The sequence below is a fragment of the Homo sapiens genome, chromosome 20, assembly GCF_000001405.40.
Source record: "Homo sapiens chromosome 20, GRCh38.p14 Primary Assembly".
Taxonomy (NCBI): domain Eukaryota; kingdom Metazoa; phylum Chordata; class Mammalia; order Primates; family Hominidae; genus Homo; species Homo sapiens.
The window spans coordinates 16,516,087-16,533,938 of NC_000020.11; the positions used below are offsets into that span (position 1 = coordinate 16,516,087).

The 17,852-nt window shown below is 42.7% G+C and overlaps 1 protein-coding gene across 17 annotated transcripts in view; it reads right to left on the reverse strand.

Moving 5' to 3' along the window:
• The window catches only part of KIF16B (kinesin family member 16B), a 301,345-nt gene that overhangs the window by 243,983 nt on the left and 39,510 nt on the right, over positions 1 to 17,852 (reverse strand). For all 17 annotated transcript variants that reach the window (XM_047440266.1, XM_047440264.1, NM_001199865.2 and 14 more), the window contains exons 2-3: positions 12,285 to 12,354; positions 10,006 to 10,119 (exon numbers count right to left, since the gene is read on the reverse strand). In XM_047440266.1, coding sequence (XP_047296222.1) covers positions 10,006 to 10,119; positions 12,285 to 12,354 — 184 coding nt within the window. The remainder of the gene's footprint in view (positions 1 to 10,005; positions 10,120 to 12,284; positions 12,355 to 17,852) is intronic.

The window sequence follows — 17,852 nt, forward strand, 5'->3', positions numbered from 1 at the left end:
CCAAGCCAAATCAATGCCATCATTTTAAGGGTCCAGCTAGTCATCAAAATCAACCTCTGCAGGTGCTCATGCAGCTGAGTGACGGGTGGCTGTAGATGAGGATGGGGTGCTGGGCTCCCCCATGTCAGTGTCCAGATGCTTTTTCCTATTTGGACATTTGCCCAGGATGGAGAGGGCAGGGAGACAAGCTGTGTGGGGCTGGGGTGGGGGTCACACACATGGCCTGAATCCACGTCCGATGTTCCATATAATTACAGTTTGGGTAGTGAAAGGAGGTGAAGTACAAATGCTTCACCCAGACAACTGATGGTAAATGAAGGAAATCAAGGTTCAAAGTCTTAGTTATAGCCAGCTGGAAACAGACAACAAAAGCTTTCATGTAGTCTCCTGTCCTCTCAGCCCAGCACACTAAGGGCACATAAAGCATCTCCCTGCTTCAAAAAGTAGGCACAACAGCAGCTGAGGAGATGCCAAACAAGGAAGCTCTGTCAGCTCCAGATGAAGGGCTCCTCTGTGGTGTCACCAACGTCCAAGGTGGGGCCTCAGCATCCCTACAGGAGCATTCGGTCTATGAGTGACACCACATCAGCCAACTCATGGGACCCAGACGGATCAACCAAATAGTCATCTCCAGCTACTGCCAAATCAAGAGCAGCAGGTCTCAAACTTTGCAGCCCATTACAATCACTTGGGAGGCTTTGAAAAGTCCAATGGCCAGGCCAGTAACCCAGCCCAGTGAAATATGAATCTAAGGGGGTGTGAACCTAGGAATCCATATTCTTCTAAACTCCCTATGTGATTTCAAAGCGTGGCAACATTTGAGGAGTAACCTAGAGCACTCACATCTGCCAGTCAGCACAGGCAGTACAGGGACCCTGCATGGAAGCCAGATTCCCATTAGGATGTGCACATGGCCCACATCAGTGCAGACATATGGAGACAACTCCCCTCTGGCCACAACACCCACACCCTAGACAGGGCCAGTAAACCTGGCCATCTCCATCTCAGCTGCACCTCAACCATCCCTGCTGATAACACAGCCTGTCATCCAAGGACAAGATGAAAATACAGCCAACTGGAACTCAGCTGTCTTCAGATCCATCTTCCCACTGACTTCTACAGACTTTGTTTCCTCAGCCTCATCAGTAAAAGATTTCAACAAACTGTTATTTCCATTGGGTCATTTCCACAAATTGCCAGTCTCACTCATTCTGAGTTAATTCTTAACCATTTTAGCTTTAAGAGCTGACAGTTTTCAATCTTGCTCTCAAATTCTGATGACTTACTCAAGTCTCAACCATAATGGCAACTCACACTTACTCCGGTCTTTCTAAGCACTTTCGTGTGTTCATGTATAATTCTCATCAAAACGCTACAGGGAGAGTAGTGTTACAAGACCCATTGATGAGGAAGCTGAATGGGGAGAAGTCAGGTAACTGGGAACACACCAGGGAGTGCCAGAGCTGGGACTGCATGCAGGACTTAGTTATCACTGTGATGTGTCCTCTTCCCACACCCTCGAAAGCAACAACCAGGCCCCAATCCTACCTGGAAGGGCCCCTCCCTGAACTTCTCTTAAGAAGCAAAAGTCAGGAACCCCAGGGGCACTCAGGACTCCAGACCACCAGTTGGAGGCTCATTTTCACCACTGTATATGGAATATGAGTAAAAATTAAATATTTCCCCAATTCTCTCAGATTAAACAAAACACAAAAGGCAAATACCATTTTTTATGAATTCACTAGTAAGGAAAAAAGTCTTCTAAAAACTTTTCAAAGAATAAAGAAGGACTGTTTCTCATAGTTTGGCCTGGGGCTAAACCAAAGTCATGGAAAATATCACATTTAAACCAAACCCAAAGGTTTTCAGAATAAAATTATTCCCTAGGGTTAAAATCTATGCCTACCACTTTGCTATTACTTCATTGCCCAGAAAGTTAACCCAGGCGGTTTTCCGGTTCAGGGGCTCAGGGGGTTTGGGGCCAGGAGACATGACTGCAAACGGGTCTAGAAAATCCAGGTCTGGAGGCGCAGAGACCCAGGGCTGGCTCAGACTCAGACTCATTCTCAGTGAGTCTCAAATAACCCACCCAAACTTGGCGCTATGACCTGGAAAAGCAGCCGGCACTGCCTGCATCTCTCCAGAGGTCTTGGCAAGGAAATCGAGATACCCCCATCACAGCTCCCACAGAGGATGCACCGAGCATCGCCCCCACAACCAAGGTGGGAAGCGGGGCCTGCTTTATGAGACTGACAACTGCTCTTCCCCGCTGGCATCAGAACCTGGCTGGCCTGGTTACCTGAAATCCACCTTGCTGCCTGTCAGAGCACAGATTTGAAAGCTGATTTCCTGGGTAATCCAAGGCATCACTGGGGCCTCACTTGAGGGGAACTGCCCACAAGAGGGCACTGTTAAAATAAAAACTCGCTCATCGGGCATGTCAACTGGGAGATGTTAGGTTTCAAGTTTCTCCTGGGTTGAATTAAGGAACAGGTTGTGTGAGATCAAAGCCTCCCTTTGGAGTTCTGAAGAACCATTAAGAAAATCAGACCTTGTTTAATGATCTTTAATTTACATGACTGTAGATTTAAGTTGCTCATTGATTTTTTTTCTAATTCTAAAATTAATTTGGGAGAAAAAATATTAACGGTCATCTTACTTGGTATTTGTTCAAGGTTAAGGGAAAATTGAACTATAGTAGTAGACATGATATATTTTCTCAATATGCCTTTACATTCAAATCACACACACACACACCATGCTACACTAGCATCTTCCCCTATTTATAGCAGGGATGCGACCTGCCAGCCACTTCCTGTGCCTGATCCATCTGTCATCGTGAACACACCACTCCTTCTCGTCCACATCCTTAAGACCTTCCAGTGGCATCTCCAGCACCCGTACAGCCCCATGGTCCAATTCTGCTACTATTAAAAGTCAATTAGGTCTACAAACCTGAGCAAGTTCCTTAAGCTTACTGAATCTCTTCAACAAAGAAAAATAGAGTTAAAATTTAACACATTTGATTCCTGTGAGGATTAAACAACATAGCACATATGAACACCAAGCAGAGTTTCTGACAACAATGGAAGTTCAACCAACATCAGTTTATCTTTCCTCTCCCAGGCCTTCTTTCAGACCAGGCACCACCTCTCTCTGTGAGGCTCCCATTCCCATCACTGCCATTCCTTCCTATCTTTCCCTAATTTTTTAAGAGACAGGGACTCGCTATATTGCCCAGGCTGGACTTGTCCTGGCCTCAAGTAATCCTCCCACCTCAGCTCCCCAAGTAGCTGGGACTACAAGTGCGCAACACTGCACCCAGCTCCTATTTTTCCCAGATGTTTGATTCAGTATCTTCTGGATATAGTCGCTCCAGTCCTCCAACTTTAACATTTACATTGTCTCAGAAAGCCAACTTCCTCCACAAACCATTTACAAATGGACTACATTTCTCAAATGTTAAGGTGCACACAGAGAACTGGGGATCTTGCTAAAAAAAAATTCAGATCTAATTCAGTAGGTCTTGGAATAAGACCTGAGATTTCACATTTCTAACAAGTTCCCAGGCGGTACTGATGATTCTGGTGCATGGACACATTTCAAACTGCAAGAAACAAGTACTTTTGGTGGCTGGCAAGATGGCCAAATAGGAACAGCTCTGGTCTGCAGCTCCCAGCAAGATCAATGCAGAAGGCAAGTGATTTCTGGATTTTCAATTGAAGTACCCGGCTGGCTCATCTCACTGGGACTGGTTAGACAGTGGGTGTAGCCCACAGAGGGTGAGCAGATGCAGGGTTGAGCACCGCCTCACCCCGGGAAGTGCAAGGGGTCAGGGAACTCCCTCCCCTAGCCAAGGGAAGCCATGAGGGACTGTGCCGTGAGGGATGGTGCATTCAGGCCCAAATATTACGCTTTTCCCACAGTCTTCGCAACTCGCAGACCAGGAGATTCCTTCGGGTACCTACACCACCAGGGTCCTGGGTTTCAAGCACAAAACTGGGTGGCTGTTCAGGCAGACATCGAGCTAGCTGCAGGAGTTTTTTTTTTTTTTTCATACCCTGGTGGCACCTGGAACACCAATGAGACAGAACCGTTCATTCCCCTGGAAAGGAAGCTGAAGCCAGGGAGCCAAGTGGTCTAGCTCAGCAAATCCCACCCCCACAGAGCACAGAAAGCTAAGATCCACTGGCTTGAAATTCTCGCTGCCAGCAAAGCAGTCTGAAGTGGACCTGGGATGCTTGAGCTTAGTGGGGGGAGGGGCATCCACCATTACTGAGACTCGAGTGGGTGGTTTTACCCTCACAGTGTAAACAAAGCCGCCAGGAATTTCAAGCTGAGCAGAGCCCACCACAGCTTGGCAAAGCCGCTGTAGCCAGACTGCCTCTCTAAATTCCTCCCCTCTGGGCCTGGCATCTCTGAAAGAAAGGCAGTAGCCCCAGTCAGGGGCTTATTGATAAAATTCCCATTTTCCTGGGACAGAGCACCTGGGAGAAGGGGTGGCTGTGGGCACAGCTTCGGCAGACTTAAACGTTCCTGCCTCCCAGGTCTGAAGAGAGCAGCAGATCTCCCAGCACAGCACTCACGCTCTGCTAAGGGACAGGCTGCCTCCTCAAGTGGGTCCCTGACCCCTGTGCCTCCTGACTGAGAGACACCTCCCAGCAGGGGTTGACAGACACCTCATACGGGAGAGCTCCGGGTGGCATCTGGTGGGTGCCCCTCTGTGACAAAGCTTCCAGAGGAAGGAACAGGCAGCATATTTCCTGTTCTGCAGCCTCCGCTGGTGATACCCAGGCAAACAGGGTCTGGAGTGGGCCTCCAGCAAACTCCAGCAGACCTGCAGCAGAGGGGCCTGACTGTTAGAAGGAAAACAAACAAACAGAAAGAAACAGCATCAACATCAACAAAAACGACATCCACACAAAGGTCACCAACATCAAAGACCAAAGATAGATAAATCCACGAAGATGAGGAAAAACCAGTGCAAAAAGGCTGAAAATTCCAAAAACCAGAACGACTCCTCTCCTCCAAAGAATTACAACTCCTCACCAGCAAGGGAACAAAACTGGACAGAGAATGAGTTTGATGAATTGGCAGAAGTAGGCTTCAGAAGGTGGGTAAAAACAAACTCCTCTGAGCTAAAGGAGTATGTTCTAACCCAATGCAAGGAAGCTAAGAACCTTGAAAAAGGGTTAGACGAATTGCTAACTAGAATAACCAGTTTTGAGAAAAACATAAATGACCTGATCGAGCTGAAAGACACAGCACAAGAACTTCGTGAAGCACACACAGGTATTAATAGCTGAGTAGACCAAGCAGAAGAAAGGATATCAGAGATTGAAGAACAACTTAATGAAATAAAGCATGAAGACAAGATTGGAGAAAAAAGAATGAAAAGGAATGAACAGAGCCTCCAAGAAATATGGGACTATGTGAAAAGACCAAACCTATGTTTGATTGGTGTACCTCAAACTGACGGGGAGAATGGAACCAAGTTGGAAAACACTCTTCAGGCTATTATCCAGGAGAACTTCCCCAACCTAGCAAGACAGGCCAACATTCAAATTCAGGAAATACAGAGAACACCACAAAAATACTCCTCGAGTAGAGCAAAACCCAAGACACATAATCGTCAGATTCACCAAGGTGGAAATGAAGGAAAAAATGTTAAGGGCAGCCAGAGAGAAATGTCAGGTCACCCACAAAGGGAAGCCCATCAGACTAACAGTGAATCTCTCAGCAGAAACCCTACGTGCCAGAAGAGATTGGGGGCCAATATTAAACATTCTTAAAGAAAAGAATTTTCAACCCAGAATTTCATATCCAGCCAAACTAAGCTTCATAAGCAAAGAAGAAATAAAATCCTTTACAGACAAGCAAATGCTGAGAGATTTTGCCACCACCAGGCCTGCCTTACACGAGCTCCTGAAGGAAGCACAAAATATGGAAAGGAACAACTGGTACCAGCCACTGCAAAAACATACCAAATTGTAAAGACCATCGACACCATGAAGAAACTGCATCAACTAATGGGCAAAATAACCAGCTTAGCATCATGATGACAGGATCGAATACAGACATAACAATATTAACCTTAAGTATAAACGGGCTAAATGCCCCAATTAAAAGACACAGACTGGCAAATTAGATAGAGTCAAGACCCATTGGTGTGCTGTATTCAGGAGACCCATCTCACATGCAAAGACAACAAAGGCTCAAAATAAAGGGAGAGAAGAATATTCACCAAGCAAATGGAAAGCAAAAAATAGCAGGGGTTGCAATCCTAGTCTCTGATAAAACAGACTTTAAGCCAACAAAGATCAAAAATTACAAAGAAGGGCATTACATAATGTTAAAGGGATTAATGCAACAAGAAGAGCTAACTATCCTAAATATATATGCACCCAATACAGGAGCACCCAGATTCATAAAGCAAGTTCTCAGAGACCTACAAAGAGACTTAGACTCCCACACAATAATAGTGGGAGACTTTAACACCCCACTGTCAATATTAGACAGATCAACGTGACAGAAAATTAACAAGGATATTCAGGACTTGAACTCAGCTCTGGACCAAACGGACCTAATAGATAGCTATAGAACTCTCCACCCCAAATAACAGAACACACATTCTTCTCTGCACTACATCACACTTACTCTAAAATTGACCACATAATTGGAAGTAAAACACTCCTCAGCAAATGCAAAAGAATGGATATCCTAACAAACAGTCTCTCAAACCACACTGCAATCAAATTAGAAGTCAGGATTGAGAAATTCACTCAAAACCGCACAATCACATGGAAACTGAACAATCCATCACATAAACAGAACGAATGACAAAAACCACATGATTATCTCAACAGACGCAGAAAAGGCCTTCGAAAAAACTCAACACCCTTCATGCTAAAAACTCTCAATAAACTAGGTATTGATGGAAGGTATCTCAAAATAATAACAGCTATTTATGACAAACCCACAGCCAATATCATACTGAATGGGCAAAAGTCGGAAGCATTCCCTTTGAAAACCAGCACAAGACAAGGATGCCCTCTCTCACAACTCCTATTCAACACAGTGTTGGAAATTCTGGCCAGGGCAATCAAGGCAAGAGAAAGAAACAATGGGTATTCGAATAAGAAGAGAGAAAGTCAAATTGTCTCTGTTTCACATGACATGATTGTATATTTAGAAAACCCCATCATCTCAGCCCAAAATCTCCTTAAGCTGATAAGCAACTTCAGCAAAGTCTCAGGATACAAAATCAATGTGCAAGAATCTCAAGCATTCCTATACACCAATAACAGACAAACAGAGAGCCAAATCATGAGTGAACTCCCATTCACAATTGCTACAAAGAGAATAAAATACCTAGGAATACAACTTACAAGGGATGTGAAGGACCCCTTCAAGGAGAAGTACAAACCACTGCTCAAAGAAATAAGAGAGGACACAAACAAATGGAAAAACATTCCATGCTCATGGATAGAAGAATCAATATCGTGAAAATGGCCATACTGCCCAAAGTTACTTATAGATTCAATGCTATCCCCATCAAGCTACCATTGACTTTCTTCATAGAATTAGAAAAAAACTACTTTAAATTTCATATGGAACCAAAAAAACAGACTGTATAGCCAAGACAATCCTAAGCAAAAAGAACAAAGCTGGAGGCATCACACTACCTGACTTCAAACTATACTACAAGGCTACAGTAACCAAAACAGCATGGTACTGATATCAAAACAGATATATAGACAAATGGAACAGAACAGAGGCCGCAGAAATGACATCACCCATCTGATCTTTGACAACCTGACAAAAACAAGCAATGGGGAAAGGATTCCCTATTTAATAAATGGTGTTGGGAAAACTGGCTAGCCATATGCAGAAAACTGAAACTGGACCCCTTCCTTACACCTTATACAAAATTAATTCAAGATGGATTAAAGACTTAAACCTAAGACCTAGGACCATAAAAACCATAGAAGAAAACCTAGGCAATGCCATTCAGGACATAGGCATGGGCAAAGATTTCACGACTAAAACACCAAAAGCAATGGCAACAAAAGCAAAAGGTGACAAATGGGATCTAATTAAACTAAAGAGCTTCTGCCCAGCAATATAAACTATCATCAGAGTGAACAGGCAACTTACAGAATAGGAGAAAATTTTTGCAATCTATCCATCTGACAAAGGGCTAATATCCAGAATCTACAAGGAACTTAAACAAATTTACAAGAAAAAAACAAACAACCCCATCAAAAAGTGGGCAAAGGATATGAACAGACACTTCTCAAAAGAAGACATTTATGCAGCCAACAAACATACGAAAAAAAAGCTCATCATCACTGGTCATTAGAGAAATGCAAATCAAAACCACAATGAGATACCATCTCACGCCAGTTAGAATGGCGATCATTAAAAAGTCAGGAAACAACAGATGATAGAGAGGATGTGGAGAAATAGGAACGCTTTTACACTGTTAGTGGGAGTGTAAATTATTTCAACCATTGTGGAAGACAGTGTGGCGATTCCTCAAGGATCTAGAACCAGAAATGCCATTTGACCCAGCAATCCCATTACTGGTTATATACCCAAAGGATTATAAATCATTCTACTATAAAGACACATGCACACGTATGTTTATTGCAGCACTATTCACAATAGCAAAGACTTGGAACCAACCCGAATGCCCATCAATGATAGACTGGATAAAGAAAATGTGGCACATATAAACCATGGAATACTATGCAGCCATAAAAAAGGATGAGTTGATGTCCTTTGCAGGGACTCGGATGAAGCTGGAAACCATCATTCTCAGCAAACCAACACAGGAACAGAAAACCAAACACCAGATGTTCTCACTCATAAATGGGAGCTGAACAATGAGAACAAATGGACACAGGGAGGGGAACATCACATACCAAAGCCTGTCAGGGGGTAGGGAGCTACGGGAGGGATAGCATTAGGAGAAATACCTAATGTAGATGTCGGGTTGATGGGTGCAGCAAACCGCCATGGCACGTGTATACCTATGTAACAAATCTGCACATTCTGCACATGTATCCCAGAATTAAAGCATAATTTAAAAAAGAAAGAAAGAAAGAAACAAGCACTTTTTCATACCCTACTTTTCGAGATGCCATTGCATGGATTACAACCCAGGCCAGGCAGGACAGGAATTCTTATCCCCGTTTTAACATATGGAGACTTAAAGCAATGTTATCTAAAGAAGCTGTCAACGAGCCAGGAAGAGGCCCAGCAATGAAGCCTGCGTTTTTCCTTCTATACTGGTGCTCCCCATTTCTAACCTCACTCTGCTCAAATAAGCAGCTTTTCCCCACCCCGAGAAATATACTTGTCCCTCTGCTCACCTGAAATGTCAACATCAGTGTCTTGATAGGCTTTTGGGGGCACCTTTGTGTCTGTTATTATCTGTCCACTTCACATCTACATTTTAGCCCTTAAAAGCCTACAGGCAAGATTTCTTGGACAAATTCCAGCATCATTCTAGACTCTAGAAAGATTCTGAATGAACGTTCTTTCTTTCTAGAATCCACTCTAAAACCTGTAATGATCCACACAACCTGGGAACACATGACTTGGGTTTGAAGTTTCCTCCTAAATCTCCGCACTGAATAGGACTCAAGGTTAAGTGGCTTCTTTACTGTGCTTCGCAGCATACACATGTCTCCCCAGAAATGCTTTCTATGTAGAGCTCCTTCTAAACAGGAACCATATCCAAGTTTTGAAACAAATTAAAAATTATCATCATTATGCTCAAAGGTGAAAAAAAAATCAATCTTTTGAGAACTGAATTCTTCTCAGGCTTAAATAGATACTCCTACATAACACTCAGAAAGGTAAGTTAGCAAAGGCTAATTTTATACAAAAATTACATTCAGAAAGAAATTGGCAAGATATTTTAAAGTATTTTAGGGTAGGCATGTTTTTCTCAATGTGAAAATAAATCAACATAAATATTTTGAAAATATCATATACCATTTCTTGTGAAACGTAATCTGGGCTTTTTGTATCAGCAGAATAAAAAGAAAAGTCATAGGTGAAGGTCTTGGTCCGTTCTCTTCCTGAGTCCCCAGTGCCTCCTTCTGGTATCTAGAAAGAAATGATTAGAATAATAATGATAATGTAAAGAGCACTGCCATTTGACCCAAATTTCCATGTTTATACCCTGACTAAAAACCATTTCATTCCTGCTGGCTTCTCTAAAAAAATAAATAAATAAAATTTAAATATAAACTAAACTCCTTGCAGCAATCCAAGTTCTCTGTGATATGACCCAAGAATACTATTCTGACCTTTTCTTTTTATCACTATTAACTCCTAAGAACCCAACACTCCAGCCAGACTCTGTATTTCCACCTTCAGTGATTTTTTACTGTTCCCTCCACCTAAATCCACCAGAGTTGGGCTTTGCACAACTACAAGGGTGGTATTCACATAGATCATGATAAGATTGGCACCTTCTAAAGCTGTATGATTTGGTGGCCTCACTGAAAATTCTAGGTCAGATGTCTCCTCTTTCATGACACTTCCCTTGGACACTCCATGGAGAAGTAATTTCTCCTACCTCTGACAGCCTAGACTCTTCCAGGACACATCATATTGTGAGTTTATTGCGGATGTTTGCATATATCTTGTCCCCCTTGCTATATGCTTAAAGTGCACCTCAGAACCATGTTTTAACATCTTCATATGCTCCCAAAGCCTGCTTATTGGACATATGCTGAATAACTTCAATGAGCACCACGTTTTCCACATGATTCACATATTATAAAAAAATTGTTATGATTCTTATGAAAACACTAAAAGTCTAGGCATCTGTTCTGGTTACTCAAACATCAGATGATAAAATGTTTAAAAAACTCAAAAAGCAACAGAGTAATCGAGGAAAATAGATTCCATAACGCACAAAGAAAGGAGACTCATCCAGAGTCAGCGGTCTTTTACCAAAGCACTGTGAGCGTAGAAAGACACATGAAGGAAAGACAAGGTAATTACCAGCAGGGAATGGACAAGTGACAACTGGGTAGAAACATGAGAATATGCGAGAGGCCAAAGGAAGGGAAAGAAGCACAGTGCAGGCCAGATAGAGCTGGAAGGCACAAGGGTTGTGCTAAGCAGAGGAAGAAAGGCATCCAGTGGAGAATGCCTCAGGCAAAGGACACCAGCGCCTTAATGGAGGAAATGAAATGATCCAGAGGCTGCCCAGTTGGAAGATGGGAGCATTTCCCAGCTTCTACCATTGGAGATCAACTCGCACTACTTTGAAATTGGATCTCAAAGTACCCAATCCTTTGAGCCATAAATTAATAGAAATCTCCACAGATGTGAACAGGAGATAGATCTGACTTGGCCATGGAGCATCATGTCTCAGAAACCCAGACCTAAAAGTTAATGACAAATATCAAAGGAGAAAGGCATTGAACCCATAAAGTACTTCATTTCTTTCTTTTTTGTTGTTGTTTTTTTGTTTGTTTGTTTGAGATGGGGTCTTGCTCTGTTGCCCAGGCTGGAGTGCAGTGGCACAAACAGGGCTCACTGTAGCCTTGATCTCCTGGGCTCAAGTGATCCTCCCATCTCAGCCTCTCGAGTAGCTAGGACCACAGGTGTGCACCACCAAGCCCAGCTCTGATTTCTTCAATATTAATTTTATACCCCCGTTACCCTCCTCAGCGAAAAGCATTCAGTGCCCTTTAAAAATTTCCTAACCAAATAAACAAACAGGATATTTTTCAGTGCCAAAGGAGAAACTTGCCATCTTGAAAATTTTTTTTAACTTTTTTTCCAGAAAAGAAATTTGGTGGTTTTTTTTAATCTTTCCTCCCTGAGTTTTGAATAATAGTATCAGTTCTTCTTCAAGGATTACCAAACATGATCCTCTTCATTAAAAATGGAAAAAAATATAGGGGCAAAGCTTATTTAATGTTCACAGAACACAGTCAATTGCCAGGCTAAGTCCCTACTACGAGGACACAGGATGAAAATGCCCGAATCTGGGATAGACTCAGGAGCTCCTGGACCAGAGCAACAGCTTGGATTTGGCTTCCAGATCAAATAAAGCCAGGAATGGGAAAGGAAACGGGATCAACTCTTCTGCTTCAAGACTGAGCCCAAGCCAGGTGCAAGCTGACGTGGCTAACTGCACTGGAAAGGAGGGTGTGGAAACAGCAGACAGGCTTTATTTACTCATTAGTCATCCCCACAGTAAAGCAATCATGGGGCTCTTGGAACTTAAGCAAGGCCAGGTCATGACTTGCCTTTAAGTTTGTGATTGTCGTTTTGCTTTTCTCCATCTGAATAATGAACTTGGCCTCCAAGTCCTTTTCCCTGCAATACAAATAATTCAGTAGTGGTTAGAAGAGAAAAGATTATTAAAAACAAAACAAAACTAAACCCATTTGTTTTATTTACTTTTTACGTTAGGAGTTTATTTTCAAATGGCATCTGAGGAGCAATCCCAGACACGGCTCCTCCCAAATCCTTACTAATATAACATGAAGATACGCAAAATGATGCCACCATCAACAATTATGGCTGATACACAGTGTGTTGTTAAACCCTGAAAGAATTTCCAATTGTAAGCCAAAAGAAGAGTAAATGAAATAACAGACACCACAAAGAGCTAAGACTCACCAAAAAAAAGTAGCCCCCCTCACCTTGTTACAAAGAGAAAGAGACCTTAGCCCCCTACCCAAGATGAAAACCAAAGAGAAAACTGGAGTGGTTACAAGCAGGTGCTGCTTCCAGAAGCAGCCAGGGCACTGTTCCCTCCTCCTACCTTCTTTCTACATCTGTTCAGAAACTGCATTTCTCAGAAAACAGCAGAACAGGAGGACTCCTAAAGAGTACAGTTCCCTAGAATAAATGACCATACATTTACCCAATGGAGTGTGACGCCACTGAACAAGGAATGAGGAAGATCCCTATATCTGTTATGGCGTGGCCACTGGGATATACTGGGATATACTGTTCAGTGGAGACAAAAGATGGAGAAAATCTATGTAGAAAAATACAAATTATATTTAAACACTTTTTTAAAACCTATGTATTTTTCAAAAGGCTACCTAGGAAAAAAAGGGAAATTGAGGATAAGGATTTGGGGCAGACAAGGGAAGTGGACAAGGATAGAAGCTAGATTTCTGCAAATATACTTTGATCTGGAGGTCATCTTTAGAACGATAAAAATGATTTATGCAAAAATAAAACAAGAGTTTCAAAAAACAAGCTATAATTTAGAAGTAAGTTGAAGCGAATGAATCTAGCTGTGTACCACAAAGTGAGAAACTATTTCAATTACGACTCTATAGAGGAATTTGACTGTATACTATAATGAGATATATCCTAAAAAGAAAAAGAACTACAAAGAAATCTTAAAGCATTTTTAGTAATCATATTTTTGGTGGTAATGTAAGTGCCATTATTCTGAGATTTCTGTCTGTGTACTGTGGGACATTACAAGAGTAATGATGTTGGTGCCCTAGAGAACCAAGGTTTTTGAAGTGGCTGAATGAGATACAAACATAAGTTTGATGAGGTTAAGTAAAAACTGTAGTCCTGGCCGAGCACGGTGGCTCACGCCTGTAATCCCTGCACTTCAGGAGGCAGAGGCGGGCAGATCACCTGAGGTCGGGAGTTCAAGACCAGCCTGATCAACACGGAGAAACCCCATCTCTACTAAAAATAGAAAATTAGCCGGCCATGGTGGCGCATGCCTGTAATCCCAGCTACTCGGGAGGCTGAGGCAGGAGAATCACTTGAATCCAAGAGGCAGAGGTTGCAGTGAGCCAAGATCACGCCACTGCACTCACTCCAACCTGGGCAACAAGAGTGAAATTCTGTCCCAGAAAAAACTGTAGTCCTGAATCTAATTGGAAGGAGTAGCAGAAACTTCATCTTTCATCCAAAATTTAAAAAACAAACAACTCCCTTGCTTTGTCCATTGAAAAGGCCTAGAATCTTACACTCAAATTATAGCCTATAAATAACATTTTCCACTAAAATAAGTCAGGGTTCCTTGGAGAAGTGATTCAATCCAAATACTGAACCATCTCTTCACACTATAAAGCAGGAACACTAACACAGGTCACTAGGGCTGTGGCGGGCACCTTCTAACACGGCTCCCAGTGATTGCCCGGCACTCACACCCTGTCGTGTGCGATCCTTGCCCTTGACTATGGGCTGGACCTGGTGAGTCACTTCTAATGACTACAACACAAACACACCCAAGTGATGGTCTGTCACTTCCCAGGCGGGCTTTCAAGACTGTGACTTCTGTCTTGCTGGCTCTCTCTTCTGCCCTCTCTGTTTGAGCCCTGGCAGTGTGAAAAGTCAGGGACGACAGAGTGAGGACCCCTGTGGACAGACCCAGCCAGCAGGAAACAGGGGCCCGCTAGCAGCACGCCAGACAGCCTGGCAGGGCACGCTCCCCAAGCCCGCACCGGGACATGATGATGAGAGATGACTGGGAAGCCGTCTGGCACCCTGACTGCAGCGCTAGGGGAGAGCCGGAGTCAGAGGACCCTGCTCAACCCCACCCAGATTCCTGACCCACAGAAACTCTGAGATAATACATGCTGTGTTTTGTTGTTGTTGTTTGGTTTTTTTTGAGACAGGGTTTCGCTCCTGCCACCCAGGCTGGAGTGCAATGGCATGATCTCAGCTCACTGCAACCTCCACCTCCTAGGCTCAAGCGATTATCCTGCCATAGCCTCCCAAGTAGCTTTGACTACAGGCACGCACCACTGCACCTGCCTATTTTTGTATTTTTTGTAGAGATGGAGTTTTGCTGTGTTGCTCAGGCTGGTCTCAAACTCCTGAGCTCAAGCAATCCACCCGCCTCGACCTCCCAAATTGCTGGGATTACACACACGAGCCACCATGCCTGGTCAATACATATTGTTTTAAGCCCCTAAGTTTTGGGGTAATTTGTTATACACTAAAAGAAAACTAATACAAGGACCCTGTCAAAAGGACTCAGGAACCAACCTGCATAAGTTCCTGCTGCCCAAAGTTGAGAAATCTGGACAGCAAAGAAACTAAAAACCAACTGAAATAGATAGAATATATTTAAGCACATAAACTCATAACTTAAAAATAAAAACTCAGTGGTCCCCTCTGAAAGATCAAAGGATCTGTCTCATTATTTTGAAAACTGTTAAAAGAAAGAATCAAGCATTTATCTTGCATTTCCAAAACTATCTATACTTCAAGTAACCAAACAACTGTGAAAGAAAGTTTCTCCTTTAGAGATATTCCAGCTAAAAAAATAAAGAAGTAATAACAAAATATCATTTCGTCACCCCTGGTGAATTAATGGCTCTAGGGAGGGACCACCGATGGTTACCAGGCCAGCCACTGTGAGAAAACCAGGTACGAGGTGTATTCTACCTGAAGTACCAACGCGACTGCCCCAGGGTTCCTGTCCTTCCCTCCCAGGGATGGCCTGACTCTGACCTAGAGCTGCCCTATAGGGAACCAGCAGGAATGACAAGTGTAAGTGGGAACACGCCAATGTTCTCAGGTGGGGGAATCGGTAAAATCCAGCCTGTGGGAAAGGCAGCAGGGTAAATGACTCAGCATATTCCAAATTATGACAAATTGCAAAGAATATAACGATGAAAGGGAAATCTAAAGCTAGAAAAGACATTAAAGACATATCAACCAACTGGATCCCAATTCAAACAGAAAAAGCACTTTGAAAATTATAACCATTTGGGAGGCCGAGGCAAGTGGATCATCTGAAGTCAGGGTTCGAGACCAGCCTGGCCAACATGGCAAAACCCCGCCTCTACTAAAAAGACAAAAAATAGCCGGGTGTGGTGGCGGGCACCTGTAATCCCAGTTACTTGGGAGGCTGAGGCAAGAGAATCGGTTGAATCCAGGAGGCGGAGGTTACAGTAAGCCGAGATTGTGCCATTGCACTCCAGACTGGACGACAAGAGCAAAACTCCGTCTCAAAAAAAAAAAAAAAAAAATTATAACTTACGTAGGGAAATGTTAACACTGACTAGATATTTGATGATATTAAGGAATTATTGCTAATATTGTAGGTATGATAATAGTATTATGACTTAAAAAACCTTTTAGAGATACATATTGAAATATTTACAAATCAAATGATATGTTACCTGGGATTTACTTTAAAATAATCCAGGTATGGGGAAACCAGCTAAGGGGTAACATCTTGGCCAGCTCAGACGAACAGAGACAAAATAAATATCAGTTGTGAACAAACCCAAAAAGCATTTGCAGTAAACACCATTTGGGAACTACAGCAGATTCCCAGGGCCAAGTTTAACATTTCCAAGCCTGAAAAATGCTTCCACTCCAACCCACCAGGAGTTGGGCAATTCCATTGTGGACCCAAAAGTAAGAACTGCTTCAGGGACACCCCATGTTCATGTGGCTACAAAACAAATACTTCATAAAATTAAACCTTTCCTACAGCATTCAATTACCAAAGCATGTCCTGCTCAACAAGAGAACAAACCACCTGGGTTTATTTATATCACAGAACACCAAACCCAGATTCCTCCCATTCCCACAGTGGGTCCTTTTTTCTCAATCAATCACTAACCTAATGCATCTAGAGCTTTCATCTTAAAACCACTATTATCAACAAATACCTCTCAGGAACACAAAATTATCCAGCTACATAGAAATATTAGAAGTGATCGTGGTAATGCTCACATTGACTTGTCAATTCTTGCCTAGAAAACAAAGTAATGTGGCTCATACAATGCCCACCACTCCTGCTGGAAGCCAGAGACTCCATAACTCCCCATCTCAGAACCTTACACCTTTGGAGCAGCTAAATTTAAAGGGCCCTCCACATGATCATGTATTCTAACCTGCAGGTAACCAGGGCAGTGCGTTCCTAGTTCTAAATTAACATCCATTCTATAAAAGCACTAAGTGAGATACTGACTGAAAGGCTGTTATGCAATATGACTGTCTTTTTATTAGCTACTTCTAAAATGAAAACTGAAGATGCAGGTAGGTTTTGAAGGTTTCACCACCTCCCTGAAATCCTATGTACTGGGATGACTGGCTGGGAAGGGGGATCAGGAGCAGGAGGCAGTTTCACTATTCTGAGGGTCTACCACATTCCTCAGTTTCTCAAAGAGTTCCATCACCCCAAAAGATAGGAATCCCTGCTCTGACTCTTAATACTCAAAATATGCTCCAGAGACCAGCAACATCAGTGGCTCCAGGGAAGCTTGACAGAAATGAAGGTTCTCAGTCCCCACCTAAAACCTACAGAATAGGAACCTGCATTTTAACAACTGTAAATGATTCTGATGAACGTTAAAATTTAAAAAGCACTGCTCTGATGCTGTACTTAATATGACATAGTAATAGATGGGTCTTAGGTTTACCCTTATGAAATAAACTACTTCTTACACTGGAAAACTCACTAACCTTTGTTCTTTGACTTTTAAATTTTATTTTTAAAATCACATGACAGAATATGAATGGATATACCATAAGTCAGCTAATACTGTCTCCATTCTATGCTCTTAAGTTGTAAGTGGCTTCTGACCAAGAGCAATAACTGCTGACATAATCTGATGAGAGATGTCATGTGAATGTCATGACACTCAGGTTCCCTCATTCTCACCCTGCCAAACCATGAGTGAGTTTCCAGCCCTTTCTCTTCCCAGACTGTGTTTCTCAATGTCAATCTAAGGCTACAGCCAATAATTTAAAATCATATCAAAAGATAATTACAGGTCATCAACATTAAGATCGAGGCCATCTATTTCAGAAAAGAAATTTCACAAATAATTTCCTAACTTGCTTCCTTCTTTAAGCATACAAACTGA